Raw genomic sequence first — 25,571 nt, forward strand, 5'->3', positions numbered from 1 at the left:
CCGAATCCTCCCCTTCTCCTCTCTGACTCAGCAGAGTAGACACTGACGCAGCTTTTCTATCCAGCTCCAACTCTGAGTCTCGTCAATGAAGTCTCAAGGCTGTGGAAGGTTCCTTAAAGGACCAGCCCTTTCCTGAGGACACAGTCGTCCTCAATTCCTGGCCCTCCAGAGCCCCTTGCCTCCTCCCCAACTTCCAGCCTAGGCCTTCCAATCACCTGGCCTTGCTGGGGATGGGGGGAAGGGATAACCCTCCAAGAAACCCACTCAAGCTAATTCCCAGGTCAGTTTTGATCAAATTAATTTTTTTTTTTTTGAGACAGAGTCTTGCTTTGTCACCCAGGCTGGAGGGCAGTGGCACAATCATAGCTCACTACAGCCTCCAATTGCTGACCGCAAGTGATCCTCTCACCTCAGCCTCCCAAGTAGCTGGGACTATAGGTACATGCCACCATACCCAGCTCATTTTTTTTTTTTAAGTTTTGCAGAGACAAGAGTTTCACTATGTTGCCCAGGCTGGTCTTGAACTCCTTGCCTCAAGCGATCCTCCCTCCTCAGCCTCACAAAATGTGGGGATTACAGGCATGAGCCACCATTCCCAGCCTCAAGTTGATTTTATACATACAGCAAGTAGGTGAGGGAGCCTTGGATAGTTCTGAGGCCCAGCCCATTGCATTTTCTATTACCTTGTTGCCTGTGGGGATGTGTGTTAGAGACATCCAGCTCTCCTCTTCTTTATTTGCAGATTATATTACAGATGAAGGTACAGCCGGCACTTGACTGAAATATAAATGTGTAGGCAAGTTTTTTTCCAATCCGAAACTCCACCAAGGAAATAGTGCCTGATGAATTACAACAGATTCTCAGGACAACTCAACCAAGAGTTCTCTCCTATCTTTTTTTTTTTTTTTTTTTTTTTTTTTTGAGACAGAGTTTTGCTCTTGTTGCCCAGGCTGGAGTGCAGTGGAGTGATCCCAGCTTTCTGCAACCTTCGCCTCCCCTCCCCACCCCCAACCCCAGGCTCAATCGATTCTCCTGCCCCAGCCTCCCAAGTAGCTGGGATTACAGGCATGTGCCACCACACCCAGCTAATTTTTGTATGTTTAGTAGAGACAGGGTTTCTCCATGATGGCCAGGCTGGTCTCCATCTCCTGACCTCAGGTGATCCACCTGCCTTGGCCTCCCAAAGTGCTGGGATTACAGACATGAGTCACCGCTCCCGGGGGAGTTCTCTTTTCTCCAAGGGGGGATATTGCACCATCTCTGACTTCACCAACTGGTGTCTGGGGTCCAGGAAAGAAATCAAATATTGATTGTGTGTATCATGACACCGTCTCCAGGAGGCAACAGAGGGAACAGCTAGAAAAACAGATAGTGAATAACATAGCCTAAGAAGGGAGAGTATTTCCCTGCTTTCTGCCCAGCACATGAAGGCATTGATTACTGATAGAGTTGTTTGTTTTGTTTTTGTTTTTGAGACAGTTTCACTCTTTTTGCCCAGGATGGAGTGCAGTGGCATGATCTCTGCTCACTGTAACCGCCACCTCCTGGGTTCAAGTGATTCTCCACCTTCAGCCTCCCAAGTAGCTGGGATTGCGGGTGCCTGCCACCACACCCGGCTAATTTTTTTGTATTATTAGTAAAGACGGGGTTTTACCATGTTGGCCAGGCTGGTCTTGAACTCCTGATCTCAGGTAATCCACCCACCTCGGCCTCCCAAAGTGCTGGGATTACAGGCGTGAGCCACCACGCCCAGCAACGATTACTAATAGAGTTTTAAGTTCTCTGGAAAGGAGACACAAATACCTGGGGCTCCTGGGGAGGTGGAGATTGTGGGGATAAGGACTCAGGTTAAGAATGCTGGATCCTGGTCAGAGACGATTACTGGAGGTCCCAAAACTAAGGTGAGCTACAAATTATACCAATAGAAACCTTCTGGCCAGGCACAGTGGCTCATGCCTGTAATCCCAGCACCCTGGGAGGCCGAGACAGAAGGATCCCTTGAGGTTAGGAGTCCAAGACCAGCCTGGCCAAAATGAAACCCCGTCTTTACTAAAAACATGAAAATTAGCCAGACCTAGTGGCACATGCCTGTAATCCCAGCTACTTGGGAAGCTGAGGCAGAAGAATCACTTGAACCCAGGAGGCGGAGGTTGCAGTAAGCCAAGATCGCATCACCGTACTCTAGCCTGGGCGAGAGAGCAAGACTCCATTTCAAAAAAAAAAAAAAACAAAAAAAAAAAAACACCTTCTTACGGCCGTAAAGCATTTGGAATATTTACTATTTACAACAAGTGAAATAAGATGGGAGAAAAACATTCTTGCACAAGCAGGCCAGGCACAGTGGCTCATGCCTGTAATATCAGCTCTTTGGGGGGCCTCGGTGGGAGGATTGCTTGAGAGCCTGGGCAACATAGTGAGATCCCCGTCTCTACAAAAAAATGTTAAAATTAGTCAGGCATGGTAGCATGCACCTGTAGTCCCAGCTACTCAGGAGGCTGATGTGGAAGGATTGCTTGAGTCGAGTTCGAGGCTGCAGTGAGCTGTGATCCACTGCCCTCCAGCCTGGGGGACAGAGACCCTGTCTCAAAATATTGCACAAGCAGCCAGAAGTCTGGCATTCCTCAGCAGACAGCCTGGTCCAGACTATTTGTGCCATAATAATATCACTGCCTGCGGTGCAAACCCACACACTGGCTGTGACATGGTTATTCTGGCACTGGCCTCTAGCTTTTGAGCCAGGCCACTGACCACAAAGAAGAGTCCAGCCCTCTCCAGGGACTCTCTGGCTTGGTGCTGTCCTGCCCTGAGCAAGGCTGTTGGCTCAGACCCTGGCTGGCTGTGCTGCTATCATTCTTGTTGTCTAGGGCTGATGAATTGGGAGGAAAGGCACTGATCCAGCCCAAATGGTCCCAAGGACACAGCCAGCGCTTCCAGGAAGAGCTGCAGAAGAAACGGTGCTTTAGACACAGTTGAGGGTGGAGAGAGACCCCCAGCAACCCAGCAGCAGCCTCTCCAGCCTCAAACAATCTCGGGCAAGCCTGTCGTGAGAATTAAAATGTGCCTTTGTTCGCAGGGGCTGCCAACACGAAGTACCACATGGAGAGGCTTAAACAGCAGGAATTTATTTTCTCACCATTCTAGAGGCTGGAAGGCCAAGATCAAGGTGCTGGGAAAGTGGGTTCCTTTTTTTTTTTTTTTTTTTTTTGACAGTGTATTGCTTGGTCTCCTAGGCTGGAGTGCAATGGTGCAGTCTTGGCTCACTGCAACCTCTGCCTCCTGGATCCAAGTGATTCTCCTGCCTCAGCCTCCCAAGCAACTGGGATTATAGGTGCCCACCACCATGCCTGGTTAATTTTTGTATTTTTATTTATTTATTTGTTTGTTTATTTATTTTTTTGAGACGGAGTCTTGCTCTGTCACCTAGGCTGGAGTGCAATGGCACGATGTAGGCTCACTGCAACCTCCGTCTCCCAGATTTGAGTGATTCTCCTGCCTCAGCCTCACAAGCAGCTGGGATTACAGGTGCCCACCATCATGCCTGGCTAATTTTTGTATTTTTAGTAGAGACGGGGTTTCACTGTGTTGGTCAGGCTGGTCTCGAACTCCTGACCTCATGGGCCGCCTGCCTCAGCCTCCCAAAGTGCTGGGATTACAGGGATGAGCCACCATGCCCAGTCCAGTGGGTTCCTTCTGAAGCCTCTCTCCTTGGCTTGTAGAGGGCATCCTCTTCCTGTATGGTCTTCCCTCTGTATGAGACGGAGTCCAAATTTCCTCTTCTTAGAAGGACAGCAGCCATGTTGGCTTAAGGCCCACCCCTAACAACCTCATGTCAACTCAATTACTACTTTTGAAGACCTGTCTCCTGAGCATGGTGGCTCACGCCTGTAATCCCAACACTTTGGGAGGCCGAGGTGGGTGGATCGCTTGAGGTCAGGAGTTCAAGACCAGCCTGGCCTACATGGTGAAACCCCGTCTCTACTAGAAATACAAAAATTGGCCAGGCACAGTGGCACACACCTGCAATCCCAGCTACTCAGGAGGCTGAGACATGAAAATCACTTGAACATGGTGGGGCAGATGTGGCAGTGAGTCGAGATCACGCCACTGTACTCCAGCCTGGGTGACAGAGTGAGACTCCATCTCAAAAAATTAATTAATTAATTAATTAATTAATTAAAGACCCTGTCTCCAAACACAGCCACATTCTCAAGTACTGGGGTGTACAATTTCAATGCATGAATTTTAGAGAGACACCATTCAGCCCATAAGAGATGAGATGCAAGCTGGGCGCGGTGGCTCACGCCTGTAACCTCAGCAATTTGGGAGGCCAAGGCAGGCGGATCATAAGGTCAGGAGTTCGAGACCAGCCTGGCCAACATGGTGAAACCCTCTCTCTACTAAAAGTACAAAAATTAGCCAGGTGTGGTGGTGCACGCCTGTAATCCCAGTTACTTGGGAGTCTGAGGCAGGAGAATCTCTTGAACTGGGGAGGCAGAGGTTGCAGTGAGCCGAGATCGTGCTGCTGCACTCCAGCCTGGGCGACAGAGTGAGACTTCGTCTCAAAAAAAAAAAAAAAAAAAAATGAGAGATGAGATGCTGCACAGAGATGGCCAGATCCATAAGAGGTGGTTATTAAGTGGTGGCAAGCATGAGTTCTTTCTTCAGAGTGACTGAGAAGGCAAGACGACATGGAGAAAACACCAGAATTCTGGTGTCTTTCCACAGTCAACCCTTCTCTCCACCAGCAAACCCTCCTGAATGACTGCAGTGAGTTCTTCCAGAGAGGAAGTAATTCTGTTGCACCCTGTGCAAGCCTGGATTTATGACTCGGCTGCTCTGAGCTGGTTCACAATCTCCCTCAAGCCTCCAATGATGGGCAAAGTGAGCCTTGGGCAGGAATCCCGGGGCTGCTGTGCCCACAGCTCCAGCCAACATCCGGTGCCAGCCCAGGAGTGCCTGGAGAGCCTGCAGCCCACGTCAGGGGTCCTGGTGTTGCTGCCTCCACACTGCCCCATGCAGACATCATTTGGCTGGGAAGGAACAGAGCTCAGGCAGGGATGTGTTTAGAATTCCTTCCTACAGCTGATTCCATTGGACTTGGGGCAGGGGAGTGATTTCTGCCCCCTGACATTTTTCTTTTGCTGACCTGAGCCTCTTGGTGAGAATTCCTCCTGGAACATCCTCAGAGGCCCTGGGGTCCATCTACCTGGGAAAGACACAGCCCTGAAAACAGGAGGCAGGTCCTCCAGAGACCGGCGAGGACCCAGGAACAGGAGCTCCTGACAGCCTGAGAGAGGGATCAGAAGAGAGAGGTGTCAGATTCATTGCAAGGCAAGAAGTGATTGAAAAGCATCTTCTGGGATTTAAAAGCATTCTCTAGGCCAGGTGCTGTGTCTCACGCCTATAATCTCAGCATTTTGGGAGACTCCTGTGGGAGGATCGCTTGAGGACCTCTCTGGGCAAGAGTTCAAGACCACCCTGGGCAACATAGTGAGACCTTGTGTCTACAAAAAGGTTTTTTATTCTATTATTCTTATTTATTATTTATTAATTTTTTATTTGTATTTGTATTTATTTATTTTTTTGAGATGGAGTCTCGCTCTGTCACCCAGGCTGGAGTGCAATGGTGTAATCTTGACTCACTGCAACCTCCACCTCCCAGGTTTAAGCAATTCTCCTGCCTCAGCCTCTTGAGTAGCTGAGATTACAGGCACACACCACCATCCCCAGCTAATTATTATTATTATTATTTGTATTTGTATTTTTAGTAGAGATAGGGTTTTGCCATGTTGCCCAGGCTGGTCTTGAACATCTGACCTCAAGTGATCTTCCTGCCTTGGCCTCCCAAAGTGCTGGGATTACAGGCGTGGGCCACCTTGCCTGGCCCTACAAAACATTTTAAAATGGGCCAGGCATGGTTGAGTGGACCTATGGTCCCAGCTACTGGAGAGGCTGAGGTGGGAGAATTGCTTGAGCCTAAGGATTGGAGGCTGCAGTGAGCTGTGTTCGTGCCACTGCACTTCAATCTGGGTGACAGAGAAAGACCCTGTCTCTAAAAAATAAATAAATAAATAAAGTAAAATAAAAGCAATTTCCGATAGTTTCCCATGCTTCCTACCAATTTAAAAAATCCTTCCCTAACCCCCAAACAGCCTTTTATTTTTTGTTTTTCGGTTTTTTGTTTGTTTGTTTGTTTTGAAACGGAGTCTCGCTCTGTTGCCCAGGCTGGAGTGCAGTGGTGCGATCTGGGCTCACTGCAACCTCTGTCTCCCGAGTTCGAGCAATTCTCCCTACCTCACCCTCCCGAGTAGCTGGGATTACAGGCACATGCCATGACGCCTGGCTAATTTTTGTATTTTTTACTAGAGATGGGGTTTCACCATGTTGCCCAGGCTGGTCTCGAACTCCTGACCTCAGGTGATCTGCCCACCTCGGCCTCCCAAAGTGCTGGGATTACAGGCATGAGCCATCGCACCTGGCCCCAAATGGCCTTTTCCATGCCGGTTGTGTCTAAGGCCTTCTCTGCTTTTGCTAACTCTACTCCCTACCTCATGCAAACTGCTCTTGATGTCTTCCCTGAAATTTTGACATGTTGTATCAATTGGAAGATTGGAATGTTGTATCAATTGGAAGATTGTTGTATCAATTGGAAGATTGTTGTATCAGTTGGAAGACTGGAATGTTGTATCAGTTGGAAGATGGTTGTATCAATTGGATTGTTGTATCAATTGGAAGATTGTTGTGTCAATTGGAAGATTGGAATGTTGTATCAGTTGGAAGATGGTTGTATCAATTGGATTGTTGTCTCAATTGGAAGATTGTTGTATCAATTGGAAGATTAGAATGTTGTATCGATTGGAAGATTGATACATGTTGTATCAATTGGAAGATTTTCTCCAAAACCGTGAGCAAGTTGCTGATAATTTCCTGCAGCAGAAATGCCACCAGGGCTTTTTCTTTCTCCTTTTCCATTTAAAAACTGGATTACAGTAGACATTTTCCCCCTGGGGACCTATGTGTAGGAGAGCAGTTATTTCAAGTCCAGAGAGTTTTAGCTGATGCATTTACAAAGATGTGGCCTGTGCATTGTGAAATGCAGTACAATCACCAGCATTTGTTCACTATGCACCAAACTGGGCTCTTGCCCCTGCTAGTCCACACTTTTGAACATGGGAAACTTTTTTCCTGTCTGGTGGATCCTGATAACTGCAAAACCAGCATTTGCGATCAAGCTCCAGGACCTGAATTGTGCAGAACAGAGTAAAAGCAACCCCCTCCAGCTCCCTCCCTCCTCAAATCACAAAATTTCTCCAGAGGAGCCCTGAAGTCATCTTGCCTTCCATCAAAACCCCTTTTTTCTTTCTCTTGAAAATTTGACGAGATCCAAGTGGCGGCTTTCATCAGCGATTCCTGAAGAAAGAGAGAGGGGCAATAGTCCTCACCCACTGCCACAACCCCCATGCCACGCCGGTAGTGCCTTCAGGAGGAAATGTTAGACTTTTCCCTGCATGCACCTCGCTCCTCTGAAGATTCATAGACAGCAGTGCACACAAGAAATGAACAAAGTTCCTCGAAAACTTAAAAACAGATCCAGCAGTTGCACTTCTGGCCTTGTACCCCAAGGAAGCGAAATCAGGGGCCCAAGGAGACATTTGAATAACCAATTTTTTTTTTTGAAACAGAGTCTTATTCTGTCACCCAGGCTGGAAGGCAGTGGCACAATCTCCACTCACTGCAACCTCCACCTCCCAGGTTCAAGCGATTCTCCTGCCTCAGCCTCCTGAGGATCTGGTACTACAGGCATGCACCACCATGCCCTGCTAATCCATAACCAATTTTATAGCAGCATTATTTACAATAGCCAAAGGGTAGAAGCAACCCAGGTGTCCATCAACAGATAAATTGATAAACACAGTGTGATACGTTCGTGCCATGAAATTTTTTTTTGTTATACTTTAAGTTCTGGGATATATGTGCAGAACGTGCAGGTTTGTTATATAGTTATACACATGCCATGGTGGTTTGCTGCACCCATCAACCCGTCATCTACATTAGATATTTTTCCTAATGCTATCCTTCCTCTATCCTCCTACCACCCTACAGGCCCTGGTGTGTGATGTTCCCTTCCCTGTGTCCATGGGTTCTCACTGTTAAACTCCCACTTATGAGTGAGAACACATGGTGTCTGGTCTTCTGTTCTTGTGTTAGTTTGCTAAGAATGATGGTTTCCAGCTTCATCGATGTCCCTGCAAAGGACATGAACTCATCCTTTTTTATGGCTGCATAGTGTTCCATGGTGTATATATGCCACATTTTCTTTATCCAGTCTATCAGTGATGGGAATTTGGGTTGATTCCAAGTCTTCGCTATTGTGAAAAAAAATATGGAATGCTTCACGAATTTGCATGTCATCCTTACGCAGGGGCCATGCTAATCTTCTCTGTATCTTTCCAATTTTAGTATATGTGCTGCCAAAGCAAGCACCATGCCATGGAATATTATTCAGCCATAAAAAAGATGGAAATTCTATCACATGGCACAACATAATAAAACATGGGAACAGTATGCTCAGTGAAATAAACCAGTCATAAAAAGACAGATATTGAATGATTCCACTTAAATGGGGCACCTAGAGCAAGCTAATTCATAGAGACAGAAACTAGAATGGGGGTTACCAGAGGCTGGAGGAGGGAAATGGGGAGTTAGTATTTAATGGATAGAGTTTCAGTTTTACAAGATAAAAAATGTTCTGGAAATTCCTTACACAACAATGTGAATATACTTTTTTTCTTGAGACAGAGTCTCGCGCTGTTGCCCAGGCTGGAGTGCAGTGGCACCATCTTGGCTCACTGCAACGTCCATCTCCTGGGTTCAAGCAATTCTCCTGCCTCAGCCTCCCGAGTAGCTGGGATTACAGACACCCACCATCATACCCAGCTAATTTTTTTTTTTTTTTTGGTAGAGACAGGGTTTCACCATGTTGGCCAGGCTGGTCTTGAACTCCTGACCTCAGGTGATCCACCCACCTCGGCCTCCCAAAGTGCTGGGGTTACAGACATGAGCGAACGTGCCTGGCCAATGTGAATATACTTAACACTACTGAACTACTTTTTTATATTTTTTTTTTTTGAGATAGAGTCTCACCCTACCACCCACACTGGAGTACAGTGGTGCGATTTCAGCTCACTGCAGCCTTGACTTCCCTGGCCAAAGCAATCCTCCTGCTTCAGCCTCCCGAGTAGCTGGGATGCACCACCACACCTGGCTAACTTTTTTGTTGTTTTTTTTTAAAGACGGATCTCACTCAGTCTCCCAGGCTGAGTGCAGTGGTGCAATCTCAGCTCACTGCAACCTCCACCTTCTGGGTTCAAGCAATTCTTGTGCCTCAACTTCCCCAGTAGCTGAGACTACAGGCAAGCACCAGCACACTGGCTAATTTTTGTATTTTAAATAGAGATGGGATCTCACCATGTTGCCCAGGCTGATCTCAAACTCCTGGCCTCAAGCGATCCTCCTGCCTCGCCCTACCAAAGTGCTGGGGTTACAGGCATGAGTCACCACACCTGGTCAACTGTACACTCAAAATGGTTAAAATGGTAAATTTCATAGTGTTTATTCTACCACAACAAAAATGAATAAGTAGGGCTTTTTCAAGTGCTAGGGTTGCGGCGGGTCTTCAGGAAGGAGGTGGAGGTGGGCGCGTGGCAGATGGCTAGGATGGTCCCCAGAAGTGGCCAGGCCTCAGTCCAGAGCAAACGCGCTTCCCGAGCTCTCCTACTGGTTGGATCCCTGGCTCTTCATCCTTTTTGGCGTGATGGTGTTTTTGTTTGTGTGTCTTTTGCCATGACTAGTTTATGGATGCCCAAATTAAAAAGTCAGCTTCTAGAGTGAATTCTGAAAATGACTGCAGACTTCTTCAATAAAGAGCACAGCCAGGACTGTGCCACAGAAGAATTTCAAATCTCTAAGGGACGTGCCTTTCATTTTACACTTCCTGTTACTCATTTGGAGAACTCCATTATGTGAGTAAGAACTCACTTGTTCCTAGCTAAGTTCTTAAAACTAGATTCTTTGGTTCACATTTAAAAACTTTCAACTGGGCGTGGTGGCTCATGCCTATAATCCTAGCATTTTGGGAGGTCAAGGCAGGTGGATCATTAGAGGTCAGGAGTTCAAGACCAGACTGGCCAACATGGTGAAACCCTGTCTCTACTAAAAAAATACAAAAAAATTTAGCTGGGCGTGGTGGCCCACACCTGTAGTCCCAGCTACTCAGGAGGCTGAGGCAGGAGAATTGCTTGGACCTGGGAGGTGGAGGTCGCAGTGAGCCGAGATCATGCCACTGCCCTCCAGCCTGGGCAACAGAGTGAGACTCTGTCTCAAAAACAAACCAACAAAAAAAGTTTTTATGGCTGGGTGCAGTGATTCACACTATAATCCCAGAACTTTGAGAGGCTGAGGCAGGAGAATTGCTTGAGACCAGGAGTTCAAGACCAGCCTAAGCAACATAGTGAGACCCTGTCCCTACAAAAGAAAAAAAAAAAATTAAAAAGCAACAAGGCATGGTGGCGTGCACCTGTAGTCCCAGGTACTCGGGAGGCTGAGGCCGGAGGATCACTTAAGCCCAGGACCTTCAGGCCGCAGTGAGCTGTGATCATGCCCCTGCACTCCAGGCTGGGCAACAGAGTAAGGCGTCGTCTCAAAAAGAAAACAACAAAAATACACAATTTTTTCAAATATCCGATAGCTTTACAGGGGCTGAATATAAAAGTATTTGCACTTAAAAATAAAAAAGCCACTCCAAAGTAGCCCAGGGACTTTGCTGTCCCCAGGATGGGCAGAACGGACAAGTGGGTGTCGCCCTGGGTGCCTGGCAAACCTGGAACCAGTTCTCCCACATATCTTGGTGCTGGGGCAGACTACCCTCGGTCTGGAAGGGGGCCCACTTTGTCTCCATAAATCACCAGGCAGAAACAGCTCTGGGCACCTGTCACATGAGATTAAATTTAGATAATGGGGCCCTTGGGAGGCATGGGGCTGATGCCACGCAGGAGGCCAAGGAGCTCAAGGGTGTTCTTCGTGTTCCGCTGTGTCAGAGGCCGACGGAGGGTTTCAGGAGTATAGATGCTGTCACTGCACATTTGCAGATGGGGCAGAGCAAGGGATGCTGGGCCTGAGTTGAGAGCCCTGAGGACTGGATGTGGCCAAATGGACAGACAGAGCAGCTTCTTGTCCATGAAGTCTTTTTAAACAATTATTTTTAACTTTTTTGGAGACAAGGTCTTGCTCTGTGCCCCAGGCTGGAGTGCAGTGGCGCCATTATAGCTCACTGCAGCCTCCTGCTCCTGGGCTCGAGTGATCCTCCCACCTCAGTCTCCAGAGTAGCTGGGACCACAGGTGCACACCACCACGCCTGGCTAATTTTTTTTTATTTTTTGTAGAAATAGAGTGTCTCCTGGCCGGCCGCGGTGGCTCACACCTGTAATCCCAGCACTTTGGGAGGCCGAGGTGGGCGGATCACTTGAGCTCAGGAGTTCGAGACCAGCCTGGGCAACATGGCAAAGCCCTATCTCTACTAAAAATACAAAAATTAGCCAGGCGTGGTGGTGTGTGTAGTTCCAGGCTGCTTGTGAGGCTGAGGCATGAGAATCGCTTGAACCTGGGAGGCAGAGATTGCAGTGAGCTGAGATTGCACCACTGCACTCCAGCCTGGGTGACAGAGGGAGACTCCGTCTCAAAAAAAATAGAAAAGAAATGGAGTCTCTCTATGTTGCCCAGGCTGGTCTCGAACTCCTGGGGTCCAGCAATCCTCCCATCTCAGCCTCCCAAAGTGCTGGGATAACAGGCATAAGCCACCGCACCCAGCATAGACCAAGTCTTTATCCTTTCTGAGGACAAATGCTTCTGCCAGGAAGAGCAGGAGAGAGAAGGCTCTTTTCATTCTGGTGAAGGGCAGGGGCCCTGGACTTAGAGGATTCAAGTCCCAGCACCCATCTTGCCCACTGTGTAACCTGGGGTGGGCAATCACATCTCTGGGTGTCATTTCTCTCATCTCTATTTTTTTTTTTTTTTTTTTTTGAGACGGAGTCTAGCTCTGTCACCCAGGCTGGAATGCAGTGACGCAATCTCAGCTCACTGCAAGCTCTGCCTCCCAGGTTCACGCCATTCTCCTGCCTCAGCCTCCTGAGTAGCTGGGACTACAGGCACCTGCCACCACGCCCAGCTAATTTTTTGTATTTTTTAGTAGAGACAGGGTTTCACCATGTTAGCCAGGATGGTCTCAATCTCCTGACCTCGTGATCCGCCCGCCTCAGCCTCCCAAAGTGCTGGGATTACAGGCATGAGCCACCGCGCCCGGCCCCTCTTCTCCATTTTTATAGGGATAATAATTGAACCTTCTTTGTAAGGATTAAATTAGATCACTCATGGAAGATACTTTGCACGGTTTCTGCCAGATAACATGTGCTTGAATGCTGAAGATGATGATGCAACTATGTAAATATAAATTCCTTAAGCCCGAAATGCACGGATCTAAATCAAATTGGAGCTTGAGCCAGGCGCGGTGGCTCACACCTGTAATCTTAGCACTTTGGGAGGCCAACACGGGCAGATCACTTGAGGTCAGGAGTTCAAGACCAGCCTGGCCAACATGGTGAAACCTCATCTCTACTAAAAATACAAAATTAGCCAGGTGTGGTGGCGCATGCCTGTAATCCCAGCTACTCAGGAGGCTGAGGCAGGAGAATCACTTGAACCCAGGAAGTGGAGGTTGCAGTGAGCCGAGATCATGCCATTGCACTCTAGCCTGGGGAAAAAAAAAAGAGTGAAACTCCATCTCAAAAAAAGACAAATTGGAGTTTAGCTTTGTGGAGTCTGCAAAAGTACATTTCCACATTTACTCAGCTCTGATTCCTGGTTTCCCCTGGAGGAGTGTTTGTTGGGAAGGCGCAGGGCAGTGTTTTTTGCATCTCTTGTTTGTGTGTAACAATAACGACCTGCATGTATTGAGCACCCCTTCTGTTGCCGGTCCCATACTAAGCATGCTCTTTGCACAATTGGATTCTGGCCTCCAGCATCTCCATGAGCCTAGGTTGTTATCTCCTGCAGTGGGTTGGATAGTGATATGGTTTGGATCTGTGCCCCCACCAGATCTCATATTCAGTTGTAATCCCCAATGCTGGAGGTGGGACCTGGTAGGAGCTGATTGGATTATGGGGGCAGATTTCTCTCTTGGTGCTGTCCTAACCATAATGAGTAAGTGCTGGTGAGATCTGCTTGTCTAAAAGTGTGTAGCTGGCCAGGATTACACGCCTGTAATCCCAACACTTTGGGAAGCCAAGGTGGGTGGATCATGAGGTCAGGAGTTCGAGACCAGCCTGACCAACTTGGCAAAATGTCACCTCTACTAAAAATACAAAAATTAGCTGGGCGTGGTGGTGCATGCCTGTAATCCCAGCTACTCAGGAGGCTGAGGCAGGAGAATCACTTGAACCCAGGAGGTAGAGGTTGTGGTGAGCCAAGATCACGCCACTGCATTCCAGCCTGGGTGACAGAGTAAGACTCCATCTCAAAAAAAAAAAAAAAAAAGTGCATAGCACCTCCCCACTCACTGTCTCCCTCCTGCTCCAGCCATGTAAGATACTTTGATCCTCATTCACCTTCCACCATGATTGGAAGCTTACTGAGGCCTCCCCAGAAGCAGAAGCTGCTGTGTTTCCTGTATAGCTTATAGAACCATGATCCAATTAAACCTCTTTTCTTTATGAATTAGCCAATCTCAGGCATTTCCTTTGTTTTAACTTTTATTTTAGGTTCAAGGGCACAAGTGAAGGTTTGTTGCATAGGTAAACTCGCGTCATCAGGGTTTGTTGTATAGATTATTTCATCAACCAGGTATTAAGCCCATACCCAATTGTTATTTCTCTGCTCCTCTCCCTCCTCCTGCCCTCCACCCTCAAGTAGACTCCAGTGTGTGTTGTTCCCTTCTTTGTGTTCATGAGTTCTCATCATTTAGCTCCCACTTATAAGTGAGAACTTGCAGTATTTGGTCTTCTGTTCCTGCATTAGTTTGCTGAGAATAATAGCCTCCAGCTTCATCCATGTTCTCGCAAAAGACATTATCTCATTCTTTTTTTGTGGCTGCATAGTATTCCATGGTGTATATGTACCACATTTTCTTTATCTGGTTGTCACTGATGGACATTTAGGTTGATTCCCTGTCTTTGCTATGGTGAATGGTTCTGCAATGAACATTCATGTGCATGTGTCTTTATGATACAATGATTTATATTTCTCTGGTTATATACCCAGTAATGAGATTGCTGAGTTGAATGGTAGTGCTGCTTTTAGCTCTTTGAGGAATCACCATACTGCTTTCCACAATGGTTGGACTAATTTACGCTTCCACCAACAGTATATAAGTGTTCCCTTTTCTCTGCAACCTTGTCAGCATGTGTTATTTTTTGACTTTCAGATATTTCTTTACAGCAGTGTGAGAACGGACTGACAGAGGTAGCACCCACCCAAAATTCATGTCCACCTGGAAGCTCAGGGTGTGACCTTATTCAGAAATAGGTTCTTTCCCACTTTGAACCAGCTTTATGTCTGCAGGGTAGCAGAAAAGGCACAACTGGGGCTCAGCTTTTAGAGCTAGGAGGACTGTGAGTTTCCACGTCTTCCCTCTTAGATTCTAAATTTTTGGAAGCTATGAGCCATCATCTAAAAAGTCCAGGTGCTCTCCAGGAAGACCACATAGAGAAGTGAGATCTTGGCACTACAGTGAGCAGTCTATGGATGACACTAGCCCAACCACTATTTAACTAGAACACACGAAAAGCTTTAGTGGGACCAGAAGAACTGCCTTGCTGAGCCCAGCCAACCCACAGGACTATGAGAGATCATAATATGGCTCTTTGGAGGTAGTTTTGCTACACGGCAATTGGTAAGTGAAATAGCAGTAGCTCATGCTTTACCTCCCTGAGGGCTGAAATCTGCAAAATGGCCTAATGTGGAATGTCAACAGGAGATGATCTTGAGAAACGTGTGTTTAAGTGACTGCCATGATATGGCACGAGTGTAGGAGGCTCTTTTGGGAGGCTCCCCTTTCTAACCATCTCTAGTTTACTTTTTCTTCTGTAATATTTGGAACTAAGAATTGTGGAACTGTTGGAAGCAGCACAGCCCAAAGAGGTCACAATATTGGGGGTTCCAGGGCAACCCTTGCAACACAGTGCATCCCCTTCTGATGAGAGTCTACAGGAACACAGGGCTGCATCAGAACAACAGTGAGCCTTCTCCGAGGAGGGGTAGCTCCCTGGTTAGAGCCAGTGATCTCACAGAGAGACCACTTAGCCCAATCACCTGGATCCAGGCCCCCTCCAGGCCACAGAGAAGGGCCTAGACCCCACACTTAGCCTTGGAAGATAGGGAAGGAAAGGCTCCAGGCAGGGACAATGCTGGCCCCTGCAATGAGGGGAAACTATCCCCCAATACCAAGAATCTTCTCCTGGGAGAATCAGACAGCCCTGAAGCTCCATGGTCTAGCCCAGCCTTCTAGTATAGTAGAGGCCCACAGAAGGCACAGTCCTGCCCAATTTGCACAGCAAGACAACCATATGGCCTGGCCTGTTCCTAGGTCCTGGGTCCCCATCCAGGGCTCCTCCTGCATCCTAACATCCATGCTGAGCTTGTCCTTGTCCAGGCAAGTAGGATAGTCCAGGGTAGAACCTGGGCGGGCTCTAGAGAGAGGGGCAGGAGAGCCACCCCTACTCAGCATCCCTGTCCCCTCTGGCTGCAGGCACAGCTGGACGCAGTCTGACTGGCTGTCATGGTTGTCATCTGCCCTGGAAACAAGCCAAGGCTGTTGTTGCGAGTGCTATTACCATGGAAACCCTGAGTCAGGGCCGCGCTTAGCAGAGCCAAGCATGCCAGGGGCTCTCGGGGCCTCTCTTCTGCCAACGGGGAAGGTGATGTAAGGCAGGCAGCATCTCCCTGGGACTCATTAAGAGAGGGGAGTGTGTGGGTGGCAGGGAGGGAGTAGAATGGGGGTGGGGTGGGAGGAAAGGGGAGGAGGAAGTGAGAGTAATGACATGGCTCGGGGAACAGCTTAGGGCTGCCAAGCCCAGACCACAAGAGCCAAGGGATCTCCCCTGCTAAGCAGCCAAATTTGAGCCAAACCAAGTTTGGTCTTTGGAGTCAGTTCCTGAACCCAAAAGACCAAACTTCCCAGGAGACCAGAGCCCCAAGCTGGGCCCCACAGATGTTACCTTTTGGTGATAGTGGGAGATCATGGAGCCTCTGGATCTGGGCTGCAGCCTGGGAGGCCACCCAGCACAGCTTTATTCATCCCAGCACTCAAGGGAGATTTGGGGACTTGGTCAGGGTCACACAGTGGGTCCATATGGAGGCCAGGAAGGCAAGAGGTGGAGACCCTTTCCTAGTCAATGAGCTTCCTCCCAGCTCACTGTCATCCATTGGCTGGGCAGGCAAGGTTGGATAAGAGCCCCTGATGTGGCCTGAGCCCAGCAGAGAACAATCCCACCCCCAGGTCTTCTTGCAGATTGAGTGAGTTGCTGGTTTCACAGCATGTGGACAGTCAGGTTCCCAGGCTAGCTCATGCAAACAGTCAGGTTCCCAGGCTAGCCCATGCAAACTTCGTTACCACATCCTGTGGGGTTCCCTTCTGCACAGAGTCTGACTTTCCTTGAAAATTGAGAGGCTCAGCCAGGTGCAGTGGTTCATGCCTGTAATTCCAGCACTTTGGGAGGCCGAGGCGGGCGGATCACTTGAGGTCAGGAGTTCGAGACCAGCCTGGCCAAAATGGTGAAAACTGTCTCAAAAAAAAAAATACAAAAAATTTGGTTGGGTATGGTGGTGCATGCCTGTAATCCCAGCTACTTGGGAGGGTGAGACATGAGAATCGCTTGAACCCGGGAGGTGGAGGTTGCAGTGAGCTGAGATCATGCCACTGCACTCCAGCCTGGGCAACAAAGTGAGACTCCATCTCAAAAAAAAGAAAAACGAAAAAAAGAGTAAGAAAAGAGAAGGAAGGAAAGAAAGAAAGAAAGAAAGAAAGAAAGAAAGAAAGAAAGAAAGAAAGAAAGAAAGAAAGAAAGAAAAGAAAGAAAGGAAGGAAGGAAGGAAGGAAGGAAGAAAGAAAATAAATTGAGAGGCTATACCCCAGGGAGACCCATCCTTCTTGCCTACATTGCCAAACTGTAGCTGCTGTCTGCAGACATGCAAGCCAGGAACCAGAGATGAGGGACTGTCAGTGCATGTCACCCTGACGTCTTCACTGATCACACTCAAGCTGGGCCATATTCTGGGCTCCGGTCTCCATTACCTGCTGCACATACCTCATTCAGCCCTCAAACAGTCCTCGGAGGCAGATATCATGTCCTAAGCGGTCCCATTTTGTACAATAGAAAACAGCCTTTGGGAGACAAGGTGCCTTGCAAAGGCCACACAGAAGGGAAAACTGGGCTCTGAACTGAGGATATTTTGAGATTGCCGAACAGCCTCATTGGCCACTCTTCCACTGAGCACAGGACAGGTGGTGGAGTCATCTTGGGGAAGCCCTGATGCCTGCCCTCACAGATCCGGCATGGGGGCAGCTGCTGGAGACGATGCTGCCTCAGTGATCCCAGGCCAACCCCTTCTCTCCGCCACGCAATTCCTGAGGTCTGGAGTTGGGGAAGGAGCGAGGGCCATGAAAACTGGGGACAGGGGCAGCTGTGTCCTCACTTTAAGATAGAGCCATGCAGCTGGTCCTTCATGCTGGCTTGCTAGCAAGCAACAAAAAGTTGGATGAAACATTCATATTGCCGAGATATGACAATGTCTCTGAACATGACATGCTGCTCCCCTGGTAGCATAGTTAACACTGGTCTTCCAACATCCCAAGCAAGAAGAACAAAGCGCCACTCACTGGGAGATGGTTGGAAGGAGAGTGGATTCTAACCTGCTCACCCTCGTGGCTGGGGGTTGTGGTCTTTGATGGAGGAATTAATAAACCCAGAGCCACATCTGTCAAGAACTCAGTGGCTTCAGTAGCTCTTCCCTGGAGCTGTGGAGGCCACCCCTGGGCCTGGGGGACCCATTCATTCCAATGCTGGGGTCCTGGAATCAGAATCTTCTTGGGAGGCGCAAGCCCCCCTCCTCCCCTCTGCCACAGACCCATCCCACAGGTCTGGGCCCCAGCACCAGCTGGTCTTCAAAGTCACATGAGTCTGAGCCACATGGAATTACAAATGAGCTAAAAAGATGAGCTGATTTCGGCCGGGCACGGTGGCTCACGCCTGTAATCCCAGCACTTTGGGAGGCTGAGGCGGGCGGATCACGAGGTCAGGAGATTGAGACCATGCTGGCTAACACGGTGAAACCCCGTCTCTACTAAAAATACAAAAAATTAGCTGGGCATGGTGGCGGGCGCCTGTAGTCCCAGCTAGTCAGGAGGCTGAGGCAGGAGAATTGCTTGAACCTGAGAGGCAGAGCTTGCAGTGAGCCTAGATAGCGCCACTGCACTCCAGCCTGGGCGACAGAACAAGACTCCACCTCAAAAAAAAAACAAAAAAGATGAGCTGATTTCATTAATGCCGTCTTCCATTTCGTCCAGTATTTCTGTGAATTTGTGGACATTTTTAAACTAATCTCTCCACTGCTCATGAAATTAAATACTAAGGAATAAGACTGAGTTCGATAGTGTTAAACTTTGCATGACCACAAATCATTGTAATAGCTAAGACTTTGTTGGTGGTGGTGGTGGTTTGTGTTTTTTATTTGTTTTTATTTTTTGTTTTGTTTTGTTTTTGAAACAGTCTTATTCTGTCGCCCAGGCTGGAGTGCAGTGGCGCAATCTTGGCTCACTGCAACCTCTGCCTCTCAGGTTCAAGCAATTTTCCTGCCTTAGCCTCCCAAGTAGCTGGGATCACAGATGTGTACTACCACACCCAGCTAATTTTTGTATTTTTAGTACAGATGGGGTTTCACCATGTTGACCAGGCTGGTCTCCAACTCCTGGCCTCATGTCATCTGCCCTCCTCGGCCTTCCAAAGTGCTGGGATTACAGGCATGAGCCATCACACCTGGCCATAATAGCTAAGACTTTTTCAGCACCTCCTCCAAGAACCAATTTTGGCCCCTTGGGGTAATGTCACCTCCATTGAGAATATGTGGTCTAGTCAATGCATGGGGTTGCATCTTGGGGGGAGGCCACCAGCCATTGCTCATTTGATGCTCCATGATGGGCCCCTGGGCTGAGCACTGAAACCAGAACCTTCTTTTTCATTCATTTTTTCTCACCCTGTCCTATGGTGCTCACCAGAACTTCTTATGCACAGTCCATGCTCCAAGGAGCTCATGCCAGTGAAGGCAGCAGACAGAGAAAGGGAGAACTAAGAGGAAGATGAGGCAGCCCTAAGTCTGCTGCTGCCTGAAAGGGAGCAGCGAGGCATCTTTCAGAAAGCAGCCTGGCTGGTCCCCAGAATGTGACCCAAATACTGGGAACTATTGGGGCACAGAGCAAACCACATCTCTTGGAAGCTGACTCATGGGAGGAAGATGGGAAACATCTCCAGGTGGTTCACAAGCATTATCTTTTCCCACAGACCCAATACTCATGTTTACTATCTGGGACCCCCTTTCCTGGAATGGAGCCTCCTGGCAAGCTGAATGAATGATCAAAGGAGGCAGTGGGAGTTGGAATCAGAGGGGAGAGAGATGTGTCATCCTGGCCAGTTGTGCTGGGCCAGTCCCCAGAGGAAAAGAGTTTTGTAGTAGCCAAGCCACAGACAGGACTGGACAGGGCCGAACATGCACCCCCAGCTCATGTCTGAGGTTCCATCTTCGTGGCCATGCACTTGTACTTCCTTCAGATGGATGAAGCTTCATGGCAGATGCTGCCGGAATCACATTCATATTCCCTTTGGCCTTACCACTTCCATGCAGGCCACTGGGCTTCCAACTGCCAGCCTGCATACCTTGTGGCCTGATGGCTTTCTCTGACCACCAGTGCCTGCTTGCCTGTGCTTGAACACATGACTGCCCAAAAGCCCTCAAGGGGTGTTGGAGTATCAGTTGCAATTGGGACACAGGCCAAGTCCTGAGAGTAAGCATTTCCAAGGGGGACAAGAGGGATTTTCCTGGTTTGCTCCCCTAAGAACTATTCCTTGCTTTTATGTCCTCTCCATGATGACTCTAACAAATCCTGATTCAGGTTTATATATTGTTTTTGTTTGTTTGTTTTTTTGTCCTCAATCAATGCTGGCTGAGACTGTTGGAGTATCAGTACCCCAGCTCCCTCACCCCTGGAGTAGATAACTCTGAAGTGTGTGTCTATGCTGTCTCCCAGAGCTTCCTGGCAGCTTTGAGCTCCAGCTGCCCATAGCAGTAACTTCCTTGATAATTTGCTCTTTATTGGCTGCTTTCTATGTCCAGCCTCACTCCATCCCCCCTCTTCCTGGAGAAGGCCACCTCCAAATAAACTATGTGCCTCTGACTCCTTGTCTCAGGGTCTACTTCTTGGGCAACCCAAACTGAGATAAGCTCTCATCCTCCTCTGAGACAATCATTTAATCTCAACCATTACCTGTTGCTTCTTTTTTTTTTTTTTTTAAGACAGGGTCTCACTCTGCTGCCCAGGCTGGAGTGCAGTGGCATGATCATAGCTCACTGCAGCCTCCAACTCCTGGGCTCAAGCAATCCTCCTGCCTCAGCCTGCTGAGTAGCTGGCACTACAGGCATGCACCACCATGCCCAGCCAATTTTTTATTTTTTGTAGAGAGGGGGGTCTCACCATGTTGCCCAGGCTGGTCTGGAACTCCTGGCCTCAAGTGAGCCTCCTGCCTCGGCCTCCCAAAGCACTGGGATTACAGGAGTGCACCACTGTACAGAGAGCAGCCCCACCTTTGCTCTTTCCCCACATGTGCTTTATCAGGGGTGTGGTTAGCAAGGATGGGGAATAGCAGGGGCACTTCAAGATTGGGGCCTCTGAAAACTAGGCAGCATGGGGACAGAGCTGCCTCCTCTTACCGGCAAAGAGAAGGTGCAAATCAGAAGTTTTAACATATTCCTTAATTAGAGCCTGATTTTGTTCTCAGCTGCCCAGCCGTGTGGGGCCCGATAACACCAGGCAGCATTGTTGTTTTTATGCTTATGAGGCAGATCAGCTGGAAGAGCGCATTCCAAATGAGATTACATCTTATACATGTTTAATGTACTGTTCTCGCCATTTAAAATGCAGCTCTGTTAAAATAGCAGGGAGGGAAAGTTGACTCATGGAGCTGGGTGTGGAGACAATAGATCACTAGTGAAATGAATAATATATTAACAGAATAATGATGTTGCTTCTCATATTAATCGTATAAATCACAAGATTCTTGGGCTGTCAGCAGAACTTTAAAAAAAAAAAAAAAAGCAGACTTCTGGTTTTCCAGCCCACGGAAGACTGAGGCCCATAGGGCATGAGGTTCCTGGTGACCACTCTGGTTATGAAACGGAGGTTTTCTGGGCATGCTGAGGAGGCTGCCAAGGACCCAGAACTTTCCCTGGAGGCAGCAGTGATGTTGTAGGAAAACTGCAACTCAGCCCCAGCCTGCATCCCTCACTGATGTCAACTGTTTACCAAGGATATGAGAAGGTTGGGTGCGATGTGGGCCCTACCCACTGGCCGGGGAGGCAGAAATATATACAGAGACCAGGCATGGTGGCTCATGCCTGTAATACCAGCACTTTGGGAGGCCAAGGCGGGCGGATCACTTGAGGTCAGGAGTTCAAGACCAGCCTGGTCAACATGGCAAAACCCCGTCTCTACTAAAAATACAAAAATTAGCCAGGCATGGTGGTGCACGCCTGTAATCCTAGCTACTTGGGAGGCTGAGGCAGGAGAATCACTTGAACCTGGGAGGCGGAGGTTGCAGTGAGCCGAGATCTCACCATTGCACTCCAGCCTGGGCGACAGCTGGACTCCGTCTCAAAAAAAAAAAAAAAAAAAAAAGAAAAGAAAGGAAATATATACAGATCATTCCAATGACATGATACAGGTTAGGTCAGTCCCTCAACAGCCAGGTGTCCCCCACCTGACTGGGGACACGTCAGATAATGCTGGGTCCCCAGTACCTAGCCAGGACTTGATACACAGCAAGCATCCAATGGTGTCTGTAGGTTTTGAGCTGCAAATATGTGTAGAATAACACCAGGTGGATCAATACCTTCCTCCCAGTGCTCTTGAAAGAGGAAGAAGGTCCTGTGGAAGTATCAGGAACAGGTGAGTTTTGTGGGGGTTGCGATGTGTGGGGCAGTAAGGATCGACTGTGGTGATTGAAATTGTTGCAACGGACGTTACCTGCACGTGGAATTTCTGCACAAGAGCAGAGAATAGAGAACTCAGTCCTCGGTAAATATAAACCAGTGGTCTATAATCCCAGCACTCTGGGAGGCTGAGGCAGGAGGATCGCTTGAGGCCAGGAGTTTGAGACCAGCCTGGGCAACATAGCGAGATCATGTTTCTACAAAAAACAAACAAAGAAAAACAATATATAAACCAGAGTCAGGATTCATTACAGTCATCACGGAAAGGACATAAAAGCAAGGAACAACTCTCAGGGGAGCAAACCAGGAAAATCCCTCTTGTCCCCCTTGGAAATGCTTACTGTCAGGACTTGGCCTGTGTCCCAGTTGCAAGCCTGAGTGGACCACCAGGGCTTTAGGTGGCCACGCTGATATCTAATTGTTTAGAACGTGGAGAAGAAAGTCTCCCCACTCAAGCTGAGAACAGAAATCCTGGGATTTACAGAGCATCAGCACTGCCCTCTGTGACACCTGGCCCAGGTGACTGGTCACAGTCACGCACTGGGCCTTACCTGCACTCATGTTCACAGCCAGCAGGTGCTGTGCATGTTTTCCCACTTTAGGGAGGCAGGAGCTGAGGATGGCAGACAGCAGGGGATGTGCCCCAGTCTGCCCAACTGCTAAGTGGCTGGGCTCAGTTGGGTTATTGAGCATGTACTTACAACTCTCCAGCCCCATTGATGTTGGGCTCAGCCAGGTGACCCTGCCAAGGGGAATGTGAGCCAATGCAAGCGTGGCAAAGGCTCAAAATGTGCTGGGGTCCAGGTACAGTGGCTCATGCCTGTAACCCCAGCACTTTGGGAGGCCGAGGCAGGTGGATCACTTGAGGTCAGGAGTTCGAGACCAGCCTGGACAACATGGTGAAACCCTGCCTCTACTAAAAATAAAAAAAAATTAGCCAGGTGTGGTGGCAGGCAGCTGTAATCCCAGCTACTTGAGAGGTTGAGGCAGGAGAATCACTTGAACCTGGGAGGCGGAGATTGCAGTGAGCCAAGATTGCGCCACTGCCCTCCAGCCTGGGTGACAGCTGAGCAAGACCCTGTCTCAATAGGATTAGATAATACCATCAGGGTGAGGGGCCCCCGTGATGGAACTGGTGGCTTTCTAGGAGGAAGAGAAACCTGAGCTGACACACTCTTGCCCTCTCCCAATGTGACACCTTTCACCATGTCATGATGCAGCAGGAAGGTCCTCACCAGATGCTGGTGCCATGCTCTTGGAATTCCCAGCCTTCAGAACCATGAGCTAAATAAACATCTTTTCTTTGTAAATCACCCAGTCTGTGTTTTCTGTTATAGCCACAGAAAACAGAAAAAGACACAAAACATCACTTGGGTTGTTGAATGTGCTCAAGCACCATACCCCACGGCTGTCCACAGCAGTGACTGCTCAGGGCTGGTGCCACAGAGAGCCTGGGCTGGGGGAAGCACTCAACCCGTTTGGGTCACTGCGGCTATTAATGCTATTGTTGCTGTGCTGGACTCCCTTCCCTGCAGAGACCACATCTGAACGCAGATCTCTGCCCCATCCTGGGAAGATGTAAGATGCTGAGAGGCAAATCATCTCCATGGCAACCAAACCCACCCCCCAGAGAGGGGGGTCAGTGAATTCCAGCTTTACAGGCCGCAGGAGAACAGCTGAAACCCACAGGCTGGAGAAACTGGGACACAGGCCAAAAACGTGGCTTGTGGCACCAAATGGATCACAAGCTCCCTAGGCCCCTGGGGAGCAGCCAGAGCCAGAGAAAGCTGGGAAAATAGGCCAAAGCGTACGCATCCCATCTGTACACCCTCTGCCTCCTCTCCCACTTCCCAATGCACCACAAAAGGCTCTTGCAAGGACCAGAAGCCTAAGGAGGTCTTAGGCTTTGTGTGAAAACAGCTGTAAGCTGTGGGAGCCAGGAGCAGACAAGAGGATCCCAGAGAGCTGTGGGGGATGCCGTCTCCAGGGTGGAGAAAGAAAGAAAGGAATCCTTGCCTCCTGGGTGGCTTTTCTGCAGACGTGAATGCCTATCTCTGCTAACCAGGGGTGACTGACCACCAGCATCCGTAACAATGCGGAACAGATTATAGTGTATGGAGCTCTGCCTCCAGGCAGGAAAATATAGAGAAACTGAGGCTCAGAAAGGAAACCAGGTGGCTTCAATGTCACCCAACAAGGCAGGGCAGAGCTGGAGGCAGATTCAGCTGTCCTAACTTCCAGACCAGCCTACTGTTACTTTTCCAGTGAAATCATCTAGTGAGATTTTCTTAAATCCCCCTGCCCAGGTCTCACCCAACACCAAAGAAATCAGAGTGTCTGGCAGTGGTGGTGGTGGTGTGGTGGTGGGTGGTGGTGGTGGCTGGTGGTGGTGGGTGGTGGAGGTGGTGGTGGTTGGCAGAGGTGGTGGAGGTGGCGGTGGTGGTGGTTGTTGGTAGTGGTGATGGTGGTAGTGGTGGTGGTGGTGGTGGTTGGTAGTGGTGATAGTGGTGGTGGTGGTGACGGTGATGGTGGTAGTGGTGGTGGTTGATAGTGGTGATAGTGGTAATGGTGGTGGTGGTGGTAGTGGTTGGTAGTGGTTGGTAGTGGTGATGGTGGTGGTGATAGTGGTGGTGGTGGTGGTGGTGATGGTGATGGTGGTGGTGGTGGTGGTAGTGGTGGTGGTGATGGTGGTGGTGGTGGTAGTAGTGGTGGTGATGGTGGTGGTGGTGGTAGTGGTGGTGGTTGGTAGTGGTGATGGTGGTAGTGGTGGTGGTTGGTAGTGGTGATAGTGGTGATGGTGGTAGTGGTGGTGGTTGGTAGTGGTGATAGTGGTAATGGTGGTGGTGGTGGTAGTGGTTGGTAGTGGTGATGGTGGTGGTGATGGTAGTGGGTGGTGGTGGTGGTGGTGATGGTGGTGATGGTTGGTGGTGGTGGTGGTGGTGGTGGTGGTGGTGGTGGTGGTGGTTGGTAATGGTGGTGTTGGTGGTGGTGGCTGCAGCACTGAGGTTTTGGCGAAGTCCAGGGGATTCTGCTGGGCAGTCAGGGCTGCTGTGCTGCCTCCTGGTCATTGCTGACCCACTCCCTGGCCAGCTTGATTTATCTGCTTCAAAAATTCCTGATGGTATTTGAAAACTGATTTTTTAAACATTAAGATTCAATGTACATTTATTTATTTATTTATTTTTGAGATGGAGTCCTGCTCTGTTGCCCAGGCTGGAGTACAGTGGCTCAATGTCAGCTCACTGCAACCTCCACCTCCTGGGTTC

At 49.0% G+C, this 25,571-nt stretch overlaps 1 pseudogene, besides 2 other annotated features; it reads right to left on the reverse strand.

Annotated features, from left to right (window-relative positions):
* RNU6-393P (RNA, U6 small nuclear 393, pseudogene) lies at positions 8,379–8,484 on the reverse strand (annotated as a pseudogene).
* Positions 10,070–10,129: an enhancer, noted in NCBI's record as "active region_26309". NCBI's record gives its function as "activates an Ori minimal core promoter by ATAC-STARR-seq in GM12878 lymphoblastoid cells {active_cell/tissue: GM12878}" and the evidence as "EXISTENCE:reporter gene assay evidence [ECO:0000049][PMID:35858748]".
* Positions 16,686–16,735: a silencer, noted in NCBI's record as "silent region_18397". NCBI's record gives its function as "represses an Ori minimal core promoter by ATAC-STARR-seq in GM12878 lymphoblastoid cells {active_cell/tissue: GM12878}" and the evidence as "EXISTENCE:reporter gene assay evidence [ECO:0000049][PMID:35858748]".

Source organism: Homo sapiens, chromosome 7 (genome assembly GCF_000001405.40).
Source record: "Homo sapiens chromosome 7, GRCh38.p14 Primary Assembly".
NCBI lineage: Eukaryota > Metazoa > Chordata > Mammalia > Primates > Hominidae > Homo > Homo sapiens.